The sequence below is a fragment of the Homo sapiens genome, chromosome 14, assembly GCF_000001405.40.
Source record: "Homo sapiens chromosome 14, GRCh38.p14 Primary Assembly".
Lineage (NCBI taxonomy): Eukaryota > Metazoa > Chordata > Mammalia > Primates > Hominidae > Homo > Homo sapiens.
The window spans coordinates 31,382,531-31,402,735 of record NC_000014.9 but is presented as its reverse complement, the minus strand read 5'-3'; the positions used below and the strand labels follow the sequence as shown (position 1 = coordinate 31,402,735).

The 20,205-nt window shown below is 37.4% G+C and overlaps 1 protein-coding gene across 1 annotated transcript in view; it reads left to right on the top strand.

The window, feature by feature from the left end:
- The window catches only part of HEATR5A (HEAT repeat containing 5A), a 128,763-nt gene that overhangs the window by 17,815 nt on the left and 90,743 nt on the right, over nucleotides 1-20,205 (top strand). Inside the window, exons 3-10 of the mRNA NM_015473.4 lie at nucleotides 2,224-2,435; nucleotides 3,955-4,063; nucleotides 7,388-7,537; nucleotides 8,510-8,684; nucleotides 13,731-13,891; nucleotides 15,361-15,616; nucleotides 16,161-16,316; nucleotides 18,965-19,215. Coding sequence (NP_056288.2) covers nucleotides 2,224-2,435; nucleotides 3,955-4,063; nucleotides 7,388-7,537; nucleotides 8,510-8,684; nucleotides 13,731-13,891; nucleotides 15,361-15,616; nucleotides 16,161-16,316; nucleotides 18,965-19,215 — 1,470 coding nt within the window. The remainder of the gene's footprint in view (nucleotides 1-2,223; nucleotides 2,436-3,954; nucleotides 4,064-7,387; nucleotides 7,538-8,509; nucleotides 8,685-13,730; nucleotides 13,892-15,360; nucleotides 15,617-16,160; nucleotides 16,317-18,964; nucleotides 19,216-20,205) is intronic.

The following is a 20,205-nucleotide window of genomic DNA, read 5'->3' as shown; positions in this document are numbered from 1 at the left end:
TGTTAAAACTTAATGAAGTATATTACATTTTTTGTTCCCTCATCAGAATTTTTATTATTAGAAGAAGTTTTCGCTATTCAGAAAAGCAGGAAGAAATTAGCTAATGTTTTTGGTATTACTTTAAAAATATATGAAACACCAACTACAACTACTTTCTATTATACTTCGTTTTTGTTATGGTCTGCATCTATGTTCCTCCGTGTACATAAAGCCCTGGTACAGTATAGTGGCTAAACAATGTAGTGGGAGTTTCACTTTAAAAAGGTATGAAGACTTGAGGTGTATGAATTCAAGAGCCTATGGATAAACAGATTCCCTCTTCAAAGCTTATGACATGAGTGTGAAAAAGGAAAACTGATCACTCATACCCTTCACCTACATTCAGCAATTAGTAACATTTTGCCGTGTTTGGTTGATTAATTTACTAAGCCATTGAGGTGGCACTTTACTTTTAGCCTACGTCTCCTAAAAATAAGAACATTTTTTCACATAATCACAGTACTATATGCAGTTCCAAAGTGGTAGAAAAACACTACTCATGGAGACATTTAGAATTTAACAGAAGACATTTTATTTATGAATTTAAAATAGTAGCATTCCAAAACACATTCTTGTTCTGAGACAACAGGGAGCTGTGTGACTCTAGTTATCAAAATATTTGACAAGTTTGCTGATCTTTAAGAGAGGGAAAAAAAGCAACTTCTAGATTTGGGGAAAAAAAAACAAAAGACAAAATTCTATACACTGACAAATATTTTATTGTGGAATTTTAGGCCTCATTGAGCACCTGAATACCATTAGCTTTATAATGATACTGTGTACTCTTTATTCAGATAGCAGACAAGGAAAATGGAATAATGTTATTAACATTTATATACGTAAGCTTGCAAAAAGAAAATTGCCCTACACTTAGGAATAGACCTGAATAAAACAGGTAGCCATTACAAGGTCAGCTCTGGTTATAGATTATAGTTTACTGCTTTATGCAGCTATATATGAGGGAGGTGTAGGATTAGTAACTCAGATGCTGTAGTTGAAAATACAAATTTGGACATGGTGATGCATGCTTATAGACCAAGTTACATGGTAGGCTGAAGCAGGAGGATTGCTTGAGCCCAGGAATTTGAGGCTGTAGTGTAGCACTATAATTGCTCCTATGAATAGCCATTGCACTCTACCCCAGGCAACATAGTATGACCTTGTGTATTAGTCCGTTCTCACACTGCTATAAAGAACTACCTGAGACTGGGTAATTTATGAAGAAGAAAGGTTTAATTAATGCACAGATATGCAAGCTTAACAGGCATGAGTGGGAGGCCTCAGGAAACTTAAACAGTCATGGGAGAAGGCGAAGGGAAAGTGAGGACCTTCTTCACATCATGGCAGGAAGGGTTGCGGGGAAGTGTCACACACTTTTAAACCATCAGATCTTGTGAGAACTCACTCACTGTCACAAGAACAGCATGGGTGAAATCCACCCCCTTGATCTAATCACCTCCTAGCAGGCCCCTCCCCTGAAACATGGGAATTACCATTCAGCATGAGATTTGGGTGGGGATGCAGAGCCAAACCATTTCACATTGTCTCTATTAAAAATAATAATACGCGGTGGCTAACGCCTGTAATCCCAGCACTTTGGGAGGCCGAGGTGGGTGGATCATAAGGTCAGGAGATCGAGACCATCCTGGCTAACACCGTGAAACCCTGTCTGTACTGAAAATACAAAAAATTAGCCGGGCATGGTGGCGGGCGCCTGTAGTCCCAGCTACTCGGGAGGCTGAGCCAGGAGAATGGCGTGAACCCAGGAGGCGGAGCTTGCAGTGACCGGAGATCGGGCCACTGCACTCCAGCCTGGGCGACAGAGCGAGACTCCATCTCAAAAAAAAAAAAACAATAATAATAATAATACAAATTTGCTCTGCCTTTCAAACAAAAGAAGAAAGATTTCGAATACATAGAGCCCTTATATTTGTTAACAGAGATTGCAGTGTAATGTGGTTCGGAATTTTTGGAGGGCTTTTTTATTATTAGCAGGGCAGCAAACTACCTGATTAGTCTGGCATAATGACCACACTACCAACTTATTTGTAACTTCCAGTCAAAGTAAGTTTGTATTTTTCTAGAGCCTTTTTAGTTCTTAAATATATGAAAGAAAAATTATATTAGGGGATTACAGATAATTATATTGACTTTGAATTGTCTTTGTGTTATCTTTCTTTCTAGAATGATGTAAGGGAGAAACAGAAGACTCTTGTTGAACAGCTCCTGTCTTTGTTGAACAGCTCCCCAGGGCCTCCTACCCGCAAACTGCTTGCTAAGAATCTAGCCATACTTTATAGTATTGGAGACACATTCTCCGTTCATGAAGCAATCGATAAATGTAATGATCTTATTCGTAGCAAAGATGATTCTCCAAGTTATCTTCCCACTAAGCTGTAAGTGAAACATTAAAACAGAACAGAAAACAAAATATTGCTTCCTGTTGTATTTTTATGAAGTACCCATAGTACTTGACATTTACTTTGAAACTGAATGCAAACTCAGTTTTACTCATTTTCAAAATCTAACTTAAAAAAGAAACTAACACTTTTCATGTTAGTTGCTGAGAAACAATTCTACAAATACTTTAGACGTATTTGAAGTCTAGATTTGAGATTCAAAACATCTTCCTAAAATTTTAGCAGTTGAGTGTTTAAGAAAGATATTTTAAATTCTTCACATTTTTGGATGCTTTTATAATTTATTCATTCTTGGTTATGAAAATTGATAGTAAATATCATGTAGAAAAGTATTTGCTAAGATCCTAAAAAGAACAGCTTAGTTTCTCTATAGGATTTAGTTCATTTTATCACCTATTATCTTTAAAAAGGCAATGAGCCATGTAATATTTCTTTTTTTTCCTGTTTTTTGAGACAGAATCTCTGTCCACCCAGGCTGGAGTACAGTGGCGTGATCTCGACTCACTGCAACCTCTGCCTCCTGGGTTCGAGCGATTCCCCTGTCTTAGCCTCCCAAGTAGCTGGGACTACAGGCACATGGCACCACTTCGAGCTAATTTTTGTATTTTTAGTAGATACGGGGTTTCACCATGTTGGCCAGGCTGGTCTCAAACTCCTAACCTCAAGTGATCCACCCACCTTGGCCTCCCAAAGTATTGGGATTACAGGCATGAGCCATTGCACCTGGCCACCATGTCATAATTCTATAAAGTTTTTGTTGGTCTCATTTTTACCTTATAACAGAATGTATTCCCCCATAAAGTTTTCAGATTTCAAACTTGATGAGAACATTATTTCTTGTTTTTATTTTTATCTTTAAGCTTATCTTTTTGTTATCTAATATGTAGCTGAGTTCTGTTGAAATATTTTGTAGAATTTTGTAACAAACTTGAGGGTGTGTAATCTTTGGGCTGAATAGTAGAGTAATCACAGATTGATACATCCTTATTATTGAAAGTATAATCATATTCACCTAAGTGTCGTGCCTTAGGATTTAACCACAGAATAGATTCTTAGAAATTTTATCCTTTCAAAGCAAAATTTAAAATAGTCACTTTTTCAACAAATGATGCCAGTATAACTGTATGTCCACATGCAAAAGAATGAATTTGGACTCTTCTGTTACACCATGTATAAAAAATTAACTCAAAATTGATCATAGATGTAAGTGTAACAGCTATTACTGTAAAACTCATAGGAAAAAACATAGGGGTAAATCTTTGTGACCTTGGCTTTGGCAGTGTTTCTTAGACACAGCACCAAAAAGCACAACTGACAAAAAATAGATGAGACTTCATCACAATTAAATATGTTTGTGTTTCAAAGGATAATACAAAGAAAGTAAAAAGACAAGAGAATGGGGGATATTTTTCAACAGTTATCCTTACATATCCTAAGATCTTTTTATTCCTATTTTTTCAGCTGTGACTAATTTCTAATTTAAATGTTGTTTCAGTGCTGCTGTGGTATGTTTGGGTTCCTTGTACAAGAAGTTGGGTAGAATACTGGGTAACACCTTTACTGATACAGTGGGGAATATTCTTAAAGCTATGAAGAGTGCAGAGGTAAGTAATTACAAGTTCAGCCAAAGAATGAAAAGACAGCATTTTATTGGTTTATGCTTTCCTGAGCAAATCAAAGAGCTTTACATATGTCAAGCATATGTAGATATGAATATAAATGTACCCATAAATTAATATTTCTAGGTGATGCACTGTATGTACTCTGTATATTGAATCCCAGTTAGAAAAATAGTAATGCAGTAGAATTTCATGTATTCATATAAATCCAAGCGGGCGAAAACTAACGTATTCCACTTACAGTCCCATCCCTACTCTCTCCTCTTACTCCATCTTTTCTATTTGATAGTACTTAACTGGTGCCAGTGCAACTGCTTGTCACCAGGGACTACATAGTTGATAAACATTGTATACCTTATGGATAGATGAGTTACTGTACTAGCATCAGAAGGTAGTAAGGAATATAATCTGAGGGGAAAGAGTGTAGAGGATGTGTGACCAGATCCAGATGACCTTTTAATTGCCAAGGGAGTATATTTTCAACTTTATCCTCATTGAAATATTTGTGTCACTTACTCCTCTGGAACACCCTTTGTTTTTGAGACTGTCTCTTCATTTGACTTTAAGATATTAAGATACTATAATCTCTTGCCAGCTGTGGTTTTACTGGTTTTGAAATGAAAGCATTTATATGTTTGTTTAGCAAAAGGTTTAAATCCGTGGTCCCTAATATGTAAGGACAACTTAGCACCTTTAAATATAAAAACATGGACATGGTAGTTCGCACCTGTGATCTCAGCTACTTGAGAGGAGATGGGAGGATCACTTAAAGCCAGGAGTTTGAGACCACCTGGGCAACACTGGAAGACCCTGTCTCTACAAAAACATAAATTAGTTGGGGTATGGTGGTGAACACCTGTAGTTCTAGCCCCTCGGAAGACTGAGGCAGGAGGATCACTTGAGCCCAGGAGTTCGAGGCTGTCGTGAGCTATGGTCATGCCACTGGACTCCATCCTGGGTGACAGAGCAAGACCCTGTCCCTTTTTTTTTTTTTTTTTTGAGACGGAGTCTAGCTGTGTCACCCAGGCTTGAGTGCAATGGCGCGATCTCAGCTCACTACAATCTCCGCCTCCTGGGCTCCAGCAATTCTCCAGCCTCGGCCTCACAAGTAGCTGGGATTACAGGCGCGTGCCACCACGCCTAGCTAATTTTTTGTATTTTTAGTAGAGACGGGGTTTCACCATGTTCACCAGGCCATTCTTGAACTCCTGACCTCAAATGATCCAGCTGCCTCGGCCTCCCAAAGTGCTAGGATTACAGGCATGAGCCACCATGCCCGGCCCAAGACCGTGTCTCTTAAAAAATATTTATTTAAAAAAAAAAATCTAAAAACATCACACTGGTTACTCTTGTCACTTTATTTACAAAAATAATCTAGAGAACAGCCCTGAAGTAATTTATAGAAATGTTGGAAAGTCACACACACATTTTTAAAAAATGTAACAAGGCAAAACATGGGAAAATTCCAATAAAAAATAGGTTAAATTTTAAGAAGGACGTAGCTGATTCAAGAACTTTAAGAAGTGAAGACTCTAACGTAAAACTGATGAGAAAATTTGCTCATCAGATCACTTCTCAGCAATAGTTTCCTAAAAGATTGAAGAAAATGATTAAGGAGAACAGATTTTTTTTAATACCTGTAAGTCTGGTTTTATTTAAAAGCAGATATCTGTAAGAAATTTTATTTACTAAGATACAGTCATTTTAAACTTTCTTCCTCCTAATTCCACTGGTTAAGTTCTAACACTTTTTAGGCCCCTTGGTTAATAGAGGATTACTCTATAGTTATGAAAATGTTGTAAGTTACTGATAAGTATATTGTTGCTCCCCTATTTTTTAAATTTTTTTAACTAACATCCTTGAGCCATATTCCCTACTTTTGATCTTTGATTTAGTTGATCAGGTATCACAACATTTCAGAGATGTCCACACTCACCAGTGATACACAACATTTGGAACTGGAATAAAAGAAAAGTTCTGAAGTTGCTCGTTAGCATTATTTTATTATGTTCACCTATGACTTTTAAGTGCCTTTAAACAAAGATAAATTAACAATATTACTATGAAATGATTCTTGATGCTGATCTTTGTCTTCCTCCAACTCCAACTTCTCTACCTTCAGTGGCCCAACTTCCTGGGATATAGATATGATTTGAGGCATTTAGTAAAACATTAATAAAATAAGCAGCTACTATTTCTTTTTCTTTTTTTTTAAAGACAGGGTCTGGCTCTGTCACCCAGGCTGGAGTTCAGTGGTGCAGTCTGTACTCACTGCACCCTCTGCCTCCGATTGTACCCTCTGCCTCCCACTGCACCCTCTGCTTGCCAGGCTCAAGCCACCCTCCCACCTCAGCCTCTCAGTAGCTGAGACTAAAGGTGTGCACTACCACGCTCCCACCTCAGTCTCCTGAGTAGCTGGTTCTAGAGATGTGCACTAACACTCCTGACTAAAATTGTATTTTTTGTAGAGTTAAGGTTTCACCATGTTGCCCAGGCTGGTCTCGAAGTCCTGAGCTCAAGCAATCGGCCCACCTTGGCCTCCCAAAGTGCTGAGATTGCAGGTGTGAGCCACCGCACCCAGCCAAGCAGCTACTATTTCTTGACTTTTAACTGTGTGCCAGGCACTGTGGTGAATGTTTACCCATGAGGTTCATCTTATCCTCATTTTATAGATGAGGAAATAAGAACAATTTAAAGTCACAAAGTTACTGCGGGTCACAGAGAAGTTCAAACCCAGGTTTTTTCAATTCTAAAGCCAAGACTTTTAAACTGTGAGTTAAGCTGTTCCAACCAATAAATAATAACAAAGTATAGCTACCAAATCTATTGAACATTTGTTGTATGTCTGGGCTTGTTGTAAGCACTTTGTGTGTATGACTCATTTATTCCTTACAACAGCCTATGAGGGATACTATTACCTCTGTTTTTTAGATGAAGGAACAGATTTGCCCAAGGTCCTATCTAGTAAATGGCAGACCCTGCATTTTTAATAGGTTAGCTTAGACTATAGCAACTATTTATTGAATGCTTAATGGCATGTAAGCTTTTTGCTAGGCACTTTTCATGTAATTTTGTTTAATCTTCACATCAACCCTGTGAAATTTGTATCATGTTGAAAATCAGTGTATACAAGTAACTTTTCAAATAATATTTCATAAAATAGTAACTTGTTTCTTGATGTCATAATGGGTTGGTTAGTATGTAGAGAAGTCTGGATATTTCTTCAGTATGAGAGACAGATATCAATGTTTAATCCTGTTCTTTGCAGTTTAATTATTTTTCCTATTTAATTTTTTTTCTTTTTGGAAGTCTCAAGGCCGATATGAGATTATGCTAAGTCTGCAAAATATATTGAATGGACTAGGAGCTGCCGCTGCACCTTGTCACAGGGATGTTTATAAAGCTGCTAGATCCTGCTTGACAGATAGATCCATGGCTGTTCGTTGTGCTGCTGCAAAGGTAAAATGATCTAATAAGCAGACTTTAAAAATTAATATAAAGAAAAGTAAATCAGCTTCTTTGTGAAAGCATTAGTAAAAGCTACATGATCTTGGTAGTCAGCTAGGACTATCTCATTTTAACATATGAGGAAACTAAGGCCCAGAGTTATATGAATTTCCCAAGGTTCAAAGAGTTAGCAACACATTGTCAGAGGGTAGGAAGTTCAGGTTTCCAGAATCTTAAGTATTCATTCTACTCTACTATGTTTTCTCCGTAATTGTGTAAATTAAAATTTACATGTGAGGTTTATGTTGTTTCAAAGTGATTTTTTGTTTTATTTTTAATTTATAGCTTCTTAACATAGTTGGTAAGAGAATACAGTAAAGTTTTTTTGTTTGTTCTTTTTTTTGAGACTCTGTCGCCCAGGCTGGAGTGTAGAGGCGCGATCTCGGCTCACTGCAAGCTCTGCCTCCCGGGTTCACGCCATTCTCCTGCCTCAGCCTCCTGAGTAGCCAGGACTACAGGTGCCTGCCACCATGCCCAGCTAATTTTTTTTTGTATTTTTAGTAGAGACGGGGTTCCACCATCTTAGCCAGGATGGTCTCTATCTCCTGACCTCGTGATCCGCCCGCCTTGGCCTCCCAAAGTGCTGGGATTACAGGTGTGAGCCTCCGTGCCCAGCCAGAGTTTTTTTAATGTTGGAATTATTCTCCCAGTTGTTCATAGCCAATAGATTGATTCTAAAGGCATTTTTCATAACCTGTGGAGTTAGAAATGGGTTCTCCTCCCACCTTTTGTAGGTTCATTCTCTTCTATAATATAATCTTTATGACTTTTAATAAGTATCCATTTATTATTCCTGTAATCATAATAGATACTTTGAATTTGTATATTATTTGTTAGACGCTGATAGTTTCTGCAACTTACATAGCTCTGAACCTGACATTTGTATTTTATTTTTCATTAATTTCTCTTTGTCCAATTGAATAGTGTCTCCTTGAACTTCAGAATGAAGCCATCTTTATGTGGAGTACGGACCTGGACAGTGTGGCCACACTGTGTTTTAAGTCCTTTGAAGGTTCCAATTATGATGTGCGGATTTCTGTTTCAAAGTTACTAGGCATAATATTAGCTAAAGCTGTAATTTCTAAACATCCAGGAACAGGTAAATACATGTAATTATTTTCAAAGTCTCTTCTGTAATTTTTTCCCCAGTTGATATAAACAAATATGTATAGTGTTATTGCTACCCGTTATAAATCAATTTCAGGCCAGGCATGGTGGCTCACACCTGTAATCCCAGCACTTTGGGAGGCCAAGGCGGGTGGATCACCTGAGGTCACAAGTTTGAGACCAGTCTGGCCAACATGGTGAGACCCGTCTATACTAAAAATACAAAAATTAGCTTGGTGTGATGGCACACGCCTGCAATCCCACCTACTTGGGATTACAAGAATCACTTGAACCCAGGAGGCAGAGGTTGTAGTGAGCTGAGATTGCGCCACTGCACAATCTCAGCCTGGACAACAAAGCGAAACTTCATCTCAAAAAAAAAAAATCAATTTCAATTCATAAACATTGCTGTAGGTCCTGAGATTTCATTTGAAACAATTCAGTAAAAATTTGAGGAAAATTTACAAGAACTCTTGAAGTGTGGTGTACTTTATGCAATCATTGTCTTCCTTTTACATTACAGCTTTTTTGTGTGTGTGACAGGGTCTGCTGTCACCCAGTCTGGAGAGCAGTGGTGCCATCTCAGCTCACTGAAACCTCTGCCTCCTGGTCTCAAGTGATCCTCCCACCTCAGCCTCCTGAGTAGGCGGGACCACAGGCTTTCACTGCCATCCCCGGCTAAATTTTTATATTTTTTGTGGAGATGGGATTTCACCATGTTAGCTCTGCTGGTCTCGAACTCCTGAGCTCAGGTGATCTGCCTTCCTTGGCCTCCCAAAGTGCTGGGATTACAGGCGTGAGCCACCACCCCCCAGCCATGGCCTTATTTTTATATATTTTTTTTAAAGTAATTGTGAAGTGTTATCCAATAAACGATATGATCTAAATACTGAATTTTCTTTTTTTTAAAGCAGCATGCATCTGACTACATATATTTGGCTTGCCATTTTTTAGATTGGTACAATGGAGCATATAATGTAGATAATTCTAGATACTTGTAGTTTATTGTATTTGGACAGTTTTGCTTTGTCTTAGTGATTTCATTGTTGTTGTTTTTGGAAACAGGGTCTCACTCTGCCACCCAGGGTGGAGCAGTAGTGCAATCACAGCTTACTACTTTCTCCGCCCCAACCCCAGAATTAGCCATTTCTCTAAGGAGTTCTGCTTTTGAATCTTTTGAATAGTCAAATAGAATAGATGTTGAGTGTGAAAGAGAAGTCCAGGATGACTTTATGAATTTTGGGCTGAAAACCTGGAAGTACAGAGTTGTCATCAACTGATTTGAGCAAGTGTGCAAGTAGAGCAGGCTGTGTATGTGTCAGGGAGGAGGATCAAGCACTGAGTTTAAAACAATTTGGAACATTAACTAGACATCGAAATAGAGATATCAGATAGACAGCTGGATATGAGAGTCTGGTGCCCAGGAGAGAAGACTGGACATCAAATTCATAAATTTTAGGAATAAATATATTTATTTTAGGAATAAATTAATAGTGATTATTCAGGAATCTCTAATATAGAGATGGAATTTAAGCTATGAGATTGGATAAGATCACAAGACAGTGAGTATACATAGAGAAGAGCAGACCAGGTACTAGGTCATGAGTTTTCTCTTGGAGAACACAAGAAACCATTGAAGAAGACAAAACAGAAATTTCCAGTGAGAAGGCAGGAAAGAAAGCCAAGAGAGCATGTCTTGTGGTCTTATCCAATCTCAGGCCATCTTAAAGTATTGCCAGATACATTGCATCATAATTATAAATGATAATTTTACAGTGGAAAAATGTGGCAGACTTACATTGTGCACATGTTCAAAGCTAGTATCATCTGTGTAGGGACAGACTGACACCACACCTGGCAGTGCTTTTTGATGTTATGCATTGAACAGGATGTAACATCACTTACATAGTTCTCTGTCAAAAATTTGGAGGAAATACCAGACAAACTCATATCAAGGGCCATTCTATAAAACAACTGGCCATAAGTGTATTCTTCAGAAGTGAGAAAGTAATGAGGAAAATGTGATGAGTCCAGGTAGATGCAGTCATGCATAGCTTAATAATAGGGACACATTCTGAGAAATGCATCATGAAGTGATTTTGTCATTGTGGGAACATCATAGAGTGAACTTACACAAATCTAGATGGTATAGCCTACTGCACACTAGGCTATATGGTATAGACTATTGCTCTTAGACTACACACCTCTACAGCATGTTACTATACTGAATACTGAGAAAACTGTAATACAATGGTATTTGTGTATCTAAACATGTCTAAATATAGAAAAGGAACAGTATAAATATGATATAAAAGATAAGAAATGGTACACACCTATACGGCACTGACCATGACTGGAACTTACAGGACTGGAAGTTGTTCTGGGTGAATCAGCGAGTGGCGAGTGAATGTGAAAGCCTAGGATATTACTGTATACTACTGTAGATGTTACAAACACTGTACACTTAGGCTATGCTAAATTTAAAAAATGTGTATTTTTCTTTAATAATAAATTAGCCTTTGTTTACTAAAAGTTTTTTACTTTATAAACTTTTTAATTTTTAAAATTTTTGATTCCTTTGAATATTTTTATAATAACATTTAGGGGCCAGGTGCAGTGGCTCATGCTTGTAATCCCAGCACTTTGGGAGGCCAAGGCGGATGGATTGCTTGAAGTCAGGAGTTCAAGACCAGCCTGGCCAAGATGGGGAAACCTCATCTGTCTACTAAAAATGCAAAAATTAGCGGGACGTGGTGGCATGTGCCTGTAGTTCCAGCTGCTTGGGAGGCTGAGGCATGAGAATCACTTGAACCCTTTAACATGGGAGGCAGAGGTTTCAGTGAGTTGAGATCCTGCCACTGCTCTAGAAATAATAGTAACATTTAGCTTAAAACGTAGATACATTGTACAGCTCTACAAAAATATTTTCTTTATATCCTTGTATCCTTGTTCTATAAGCTTTTTTCTATTAAAAAAATTTTTTTTAACTTTTAAACACACACATTAGCCCAGGCCTACACAGAGTCAGAACCATCAATCTCACTGTCTTTCACCTTAGTATCTTGTCCCACTGGATGGTCTTCAAGGGCAGTGACACGCATGGAGCTGTTATCTCCTGTAATAGCGATGCCTTGTTCTAGAATACTTCCTAAAGGGCCTACCTGAAGCTGTTTTGTAGTTAACTTTTTATAAATAAGAGTATATTTTAAAATAACAATAAAAAGTATAATAAATACATAAACCAGTAACAGTTGTTTATTATCAAGTATTATGTACTTTACATAATTACATGGTCTTTACTTTTACATGACTGGCAGTGTAGTAGGGTTGTTTACGTGAACATCACCACAGACACGTGAGTAATGTGTTGGAATGTCACAAGGCAATAGGAATTTTTCAGCTCCATTATAATCTTACAGGACCACCGTCATATATGTGATCTCTGTCATTGAAGAAAATGTCCTTATGTAGTACGTGACTGTATATGAAAGTTTATTATACTATTCTTACAGCTTTTTTCTAATTTTGAGTTTTTCTAATAAAAAGTTTAAAATATATATTTATGTGTATCCAGATTCCATTCACTCCACTTCACTTTAACCACCTTGATCCAAGTCACTATCATCTCTTGCTTACATTAATAAATCATTCCTAATGGTTTTCCCTGCTTCTATCTTTACCCCCCTCTATAATCTTCTCTCAACACAGCAGCAGCATGACATATTATATCACTCGTCTGCTCACGGTCTTCCACTGGCACCTCATTTCAGTCACAGCCTTATTATAATGACCTACAAGGTCCTATATCTTCTGCCCTCTTACCATCCTTACACTCTGACCTGTCTCCTACCTACCCCCTCCACTGCTCCATCCCCATTGCTCTGTGTAAACTCACCTGGCATCCTATAAAGGCCTTTTTGTCATAGCCATTTCCTCTGCCTAGAACACTTTTTCTCCAGATACCCTCATGACTAATTTCTTCCCTACATTCAAACTGTGTTAAAATGTCACCATTTCAATGCATCTTACCCCAATACCCTATTTAAAGTCACAAACTACACTTCACTCCACCCCCATATTCCTGACCTCATTTTGCTCTGTTTTCTGCATGGTTTTTAATCACTGTTTAATATACATAGTCATTTATTACGTTTATTGCTGTCTTTTCTTAGAATTTATGATCCACAGAGCATGGATTTTGCACTATTCAATAATGTTTCTTCCCCAAATGCCAAGTTAGATTTTCATTTGTCTCAGATGGTTTTCTTTAGGCTAGGGAGGAGGTTTTTTTGTTCATAACTGTAACAAAAGTTTATTTCTGTACTCTTGTAGAGGGTCAGAGCTTGTGACCATTAATTTTCAAGGGAGAAATGGTTTCTTCTTTTTTTTGGGGAGATAATATTATCTAGTCACAGGGAGAAACCCAGCTGTGTCAAACTGAAGTCGATCTTAAACATTCCTGCCTTAATTAATCTCTTAGTTATTGTAGCCTAAGAGCCAACTGAGTAGTTTTAATGAATTTAGCTTTGATTTCTTCAGAGACTGAAGGAATAGCAAAAGTTTTATTGCCAATAGAGAATTTTTAAAAATAGGACATTTACATTATATAAACTTCTTTGACAGTTGTACAGCATTTGGAAAAATAAAATTATGATTTTGGCATTTTCCATGTTTCAAAAGAATTTTCAAAGCATTGTATAGCATTTTCATTTGTGGAGGACTAGGGCAGTCTTATTTATGTTTTTCCCCTGTTTTAGAAGACAGCCTTTTAACTTCTTTGAGGAAAGGAAGCAATAGGTCATGATCTTAGTCATAGTCTCTAAGATGTTTTTGACATGCACTTCAGGGTCCATTCTGATTTGACCTCTGACCCCTTGTGTGACTTTGTGTGTTACTGTGTAGACTGTTCTGTAAATTTTGCATTTTGTTTGAATTTTTAGTTTATTTTTGTTTCTATTAACATGCTTTTTGCAAATCAAGAACTTACATTAAAATTTAGTCTGTAAAATATGAATCACAGTTTTGTTCTTTGTCATAGCAGCCTCACGTCAAAGCATTCGCAGAGTATCTTTGGAGGAAGTTCTGGAATTACTAGGAACAGGGTTTCTACGTGGGAGTTCAGGATTCCTTCGAGCCAGTGGAGATATGCTGAAAGGAACCAGTTCAGTCAGTAGGGATGTTCGAGTTGGAGTTACTCAGGTTGGAATCACAAATCAGTATCTCAGTCTAACTCTTACTGGCCTATAATGAAAGTTTTAGTATCTGACTCCACAGAAGTGGTACTATGCAAGGTCAACACTTATGCTCTCATATCTATAAATAGATATAAATGGTAAGGCCAAAACATTTTTTTTAAACTAGGTTGCAAGTAAGAGGACCTTATTACCTATAATGTGTTTTGCGTTCCTAATAATGGAACATTTTAATTTTCTTTGAAACACAAAGATTTTTTGTTTCCAGCTGTTGTGCTTTTGTGTATCTTGTGGTTTAACATGTTTTCCATTGTATTTGTGTGTGCTCATGCAGTTCAGATTTAAGCTATTACATACATAATTGTTTAGCATAGGTGAAATAAACATTTTATGTGGCTTTAACCCTCAAGGAGTACAGCATGTAGTTTACTTCAGTGCTTAAATTTTTCATCCTAAACGAGTTTTAAAAGGTAAACTCTTGGAAGAGTTATCTTAACAATAAAACAAAGAGATATCTGCCTTCTTTCCTTGGATTATCTTTTTTTTTCTAAACACCGTTATCATTCAAAGCAAACTTGTATTTTTGAAAAATTCACATATATTGTCTTTGTTTTATACTGCATATAGTCTCCATGAAAATATGAGCTTCCCAGTATAATTGTAATTAAACTGTGTGTTTCTAAGGAACAGATAACTTAAAACTACTTTATATCTATGGAGTAAGAAAAACCATTAATATTCATGAAAATAAAGAACTAAATTTCCTTAGAGTTATAATGTTGGAGCATAGTTAATTCTTATAATGTGTTTGTATGTTTAAATTGAGATTTCTTGTTCAGAATGTTAAATCTCTCGGAGCCGTTGTTCACAGAAGCCACAGATACATTTTACATGTAAGCTGGGTATGCTGACTATCCTGAAACTGTAGTCTGACCAAAATAAAACAGGAGGGTAACAGAAATGAAGTCTTGATTGAAAGACTATGCACTTCAGGCCGGGTGCGGTGGCTCACGCCTGTAATCCCAGCACTTTGGGAGGCCGAGGCTGGTGGATCACGAAGTCAGGAGATCGAGACCATCCTGGGTAACATGGTGAAACCCCGTCTCTACTAAAAATACAAAAAAATTAGCCGGGCTTGGTGGCGGGCCCCTGTAGTCCCAGCTACTCGAGAGGTTGAGGCAGGAGAATGGCGTGAACCCAGGAGGCGGAGCTTGCAGTGAGCTGAGATTGCACCACTGCATTCCAGCCTGGGTGACAGAGCGAGACTCCGTCTCAAAAAAAAAAAAAATGCACTTCAGTTCTGGCTTAAACAAAAACAAAATGGTGCTATGTTTGTATATTTCAAGTGGCATAAATTAGGAAAGAATACAATTTATAAGGAATAAGAAAAATATTAATAAATGCTACATGTTTTGTGGGGGAGAATACAGAATTGAAACAATTTAATATTGAAAATAAAACTCTTTTCCTTTTTAGGCTTATGTGGTATTTGTTTCAACACTAGGAGGAGCTTGGCTAGAGAAAAATTTTGCTGCCTTTTTTTCTCATATCCTAAGCCTTGCGTCACCGTCACACCCTAAAGCCACCCAAACTCAGATCGATGCCGTCTGCTGTCGCCGTTGTGTTTCATTTATTCTTCGAACTACTATAGGTGGTCTTCTTGGAGAAAAGGCTCAGCTTGCTGCTGTAAAGGATATTTGCCAGGCCATCTGGAAGCTAAAGAAAGTTATGGGTATGGATCTCTACTAAGACAGTTTGTTTAACAGTGCTAATGGAATTGTCCCTTTGGGAAAGCTAGACTGATATATAATACTATATTAATACAGAAACCTTGAAGGCTGATAGAAGTTCCTCAGAATTCATGTTGTACTTCCTATAGAATTTAAGATAAATTATTTTTGAAACTGTCTATCTCAGCTCCTGTACCATCTTAAGTCTACTCTGCTTATCTCGAATATCAGTAATGTTGGATATTAAATATCAATAATGTTGAAATCATTTTTAGTTTCCCATGAGTTCTCTCTCTCAGTGCCACTTGCTAAGGGAGTAATAAGGGGTCTCTGATTGGAATGCCTGAACTAAATTGGTTATAGTAATTCATTTCTCTCTTTATTGATGCAAGTCCCCATTTAAGCATTTTAGTTATTGCCTCAAGTATTTCATATAGATCAAGTGTATGTGTAAATTTTTGCCGTTATACCTTTTTACTCTTCACACCCTTTTCAATATATTTTAATACAGTGGTTATGCATAGTTAATTCTTGCATTTCTATCAGATGCCGTAATGAGTGATGGTAATTTGGAAACCCGGCTTGGTTCCACAGATGTAGCCGCTAGCCAACATATGCTGGTTTGTGCTTTACAAGAACTTGGAAATCTCATACACAATCTTGGCACCACAGCGGCACCTTTGCTACAGGATTCAAGTACAGGTATATCTGTTTGTGACTCATTGGAATACCTTGTACACTAGATAACTTTGTTCCAAGGAAGGAAATCTTCATATAGCTTACTTATAGATTCCATTATAGATTTATGAGAAATGTTTTATGAAAAATTTATAATCAGGATTATTAAAAAGATGTATATTGTTTAGTTTTTTCTTCTGTAATTAAAGATTGTTCTCTAAGTCTGCACCCTACCCCCCATTTAGAGACTTATAACATGGAAAAACTTACAGAGAAGTAAACCTGAACTTTCTCTGCATCTGCAGTGAAAACATTAGTACAGTACAAGTAATTCAGTTCCTCAAAGGTCTTTAAAGCAGTATTTTCTTTCTTAAGTGTTTAATCACTTTATAATAGCTTTATTCAGATATAATTCATGGCTAGGCACAGTGGCTCATGCATATAATCCAGCACTTTGGGAGGCTGAGGCAGGCATATCACTTGAGGTCAGGAGTTCAAGACCAGCCTGGCCAACATGGCAAAACCCCGTCTCTACTAAAAATAGAAAAATTAGCCCGTCATGGTGGCGCATGCCTGTATTCCCAGCTACTCGGGAGGCTGAGGCACGAGAATCGCTTGAGCCCCAGACGTGGAAGTTGAAGTGAGCCAAGATAACGCCACTGCACTCCAGCCTGGGCAACAAGAGACTTTGTCTCAAAAAACAAAAAAAGATATAAATCACTTACCATGAAGTTTACGCTTATAAGGTATACAATTCAGGGATTTTGAGTATATTTGCTATACTGTACAGTCACTACCACTGTCTAATTCCAGAGTCTTTTCATTACCCCAGGAAGAAGTCCATTAGTTGTCATTTCCATTTCCCTTTGCCGCAGCCCCTGACGACCATGAATTTACTTTCTGTCTCTATGAATCCACCTATTCTGGATATTTCATGTTAAAAAAAAATCATTCAATATATGGTCATAAATGACTTGCTTCTTTTTAAAAAATCACTTTTAAAAATCACTTTTTAGGCCTGGCATGGTGGCTCACGCCTGTAATCCCAGCACTTTAGGAGACCAAAATGGGAGAATTGCTTGAGCTGAGTTCAAGACCAGCCTGGGCAACATAGTGAGAGCTCCTCTCTACTAAAAATTTTTTAAAACTTAGCCAGGTATGGTGGTGTGCACTTGTAGTAGTCCTAGCTCTTTGGGAGGCTGAGCCAGGAGCATCACTTATGCCTAGGAGACTGAGGCTACAGTGAGCTATTATCATGCCACTGCATTCCATCCTGGGTGACAGAGTGAGACCCTGTTTCAAAAAATATATCATTATGGCTTTTATCCTTCGTGGCACACATTTCTTGCTGAGAAACTTTACATTATATTTGTGTTTATAAGCTATTTAGATCTGGGACACTTACTTAAATAGCATTTGACATGAAACTTACATGTTTCATGAAAGTTTATGTTGAATCATAGCAAATAATACCCTTTCTTTTATTGATGGTGACAGTTACTTCACTGTCTTTGTAGTTAGTTGGTTAGTAGCCCACTGAGGACCTAGTGAAGCCTTGATTTTAATGTTTTATTCTTATAAGAGCAACATGGTGGATAGAAAGTGTATTAATTATGTAGGCTGGGCATGGTGGCTCATGCCTGTAATCCAGCACTTTGGGAAGGTGAGGTGAGTGGATCACCTGAGGTCAGGAGTTCAAGACCAACCTGGCCAACATGGTGAAACCTCATCTCTACTAAAAATACAAAAATTAGCCAGGTGTAGTGGCACGCACTTGGGATCCTAGCTGCTCAGGAGGCTGAGGCGAGAGGATCACTTAAACCCGGAAGGCGAAGGTTGCAGTGAACCAAGATTGCACCACTGCATTCCAGCCTGGGTGACAGAGCAAGATGCTATCTCAAAAAAAAAAAAAAAAGTATATGAATTATGTAGATAAATGTACTAGAAGGATTAAAAAATAAAAAGAGGGTGGGGCAGGGTATGACTTTTTTTTTTTTTTCAAGGCAGGGTCTCAGTCTGTCACCCACGTTGGAGTACAGTGGCACAATCTTGGCTCACTGCAAGTCCCGCCACCCTGGCTCAAGCGATCCTCCCACCTCAGCCTCCCTAGTAGCTGGGACAGCAGGCATGCATCACCATGCCTGGCTAATTTTTTGCATTTTTGGTAGAGACAGGGCTTTGTCATGTTGCCCAGACTGGTCTCAAACTCCTGAGCTCAGGCAGTCTGCCTGCCTTGGCCTCCCAAAGTGCTGGGATTACAGGCGTGAGCCACCACAGCTGGCCAGGGTGTGACATTTCTTTTCAAGGTGTTATTTGTTGATAACTTTTAATTTTTAGTACCAAATTAATAATTGATCTGAAGCTAAATAAGAGATTGGCTTATTTAGGAAATAAAGTTTTTCTTTTGTGCGCGGACTTAATTTAGGACAACTTTCATGAGATATATTAGTAGAAGTGATTCTTAGGTTAGAAAATTATTTTGAATAGGAATGGTGAGAAGGGAGAAAAATGAAGTTAAAAGAAAATTATTTGTAATTATGTATTTTTCTATTATAATGTGGCTTTTGATAAAAATATATTTTATATCCATGTGGCTATGTATTCTTTTGACTATTTTATGGTCAGGTGAGTTTTATCTATGTACCTAAGTCATCATTTGTTTATCCTTCCAGGTCTCCTTGACAGTATCTTGTCAGTTATTCTTCATCCTAGCATTTCTGTTCGACTAGCAGCAGCTTGGTGTTTACACTGCATTGCCGTGGCATTACCCTCCTACCTAACACCACTCTTGGATCGTTGCCTTGAACGGCTTACTGGACATAAGTCTTCACCTGAAGCAGTGACTGGCTTCAGTTTTGCTGTAGCAGCTTTGTTGGGAGCAGTAAAACATTGTCCTTTAGGAATTCCTCATGGAAAAGGCAAGGTAATGATTTCATTCTCTATGTATGATAATGAGGTGCTTTTTGTTAGAAGTATCTTCACATAGTAACAGAATTTGTTACTGAATGCTTTATTTTGCTGTACATCTAGCCCTGCCATATAAGTACATTTACAATTTTATTTTAGAGGATAAATAGAGCTGCAAAAGAAATCTTAAATAACTAAGCTTAATATTTAATAATTTAGTTAGTGGTATTATTTGTGGTATTACTTTAAAAATAGTTTACATATCTTAAGATCAAGTAGACAAATAGTTATATTAATGTTCTTAGGAACGAAGGTTTTCAATATAAGTAGAAAGAACTAAAACTGTAGAATTGAAGTTAAGTAAAAGTCCCATACGTTAGATTCAAATTGAAATTGTCAGTATGAACTCATTTTATTTTTTTGAAAATACTTACATCCTCCTTTTGTACAGTGAAAAGGCCTAAAAGCAATGATAACCCAGTGTCAGGGATACCCCTAGTGCCCAGATTATAGCTCTAAATACTGTTTCCAACCAAAAAGGAATCAGGACTCTATGGAGCAATGGCTAGTTTCAGGTCTGGGGCAGGAAATGCACAACATAAACTTGGGATATCTTGTCATGCCAGAAAGTAAGGAAGTCATCAAGGAATACTATGTTCATTTTAAAAAGAGGTAACTTAAGGGGCTCCCACTGATCAAAGATGGCATGATTTATACATCAAAATTAATAATGACTACAGTGAATTAAAACATACTAGATAATATATAAAATTTCATGAGTTCATAATGATATTCAACTTCTCCAAATTGTATTGCTACCAAAAAATGTCATTTTCTGAGTAAATTTAGAATCAGACAAATAAATGACACAAACCTAGTGAATAAATAACCCAGTTTTAATGTACAAAGAATTTTGAAGAGAACTAAAGAAAAATTTTAATGAAACCTAGATAATACAACATAGGCAAGCAAGGTGTTTGAATTTTGTTTCTTTTTTAATAGCTAG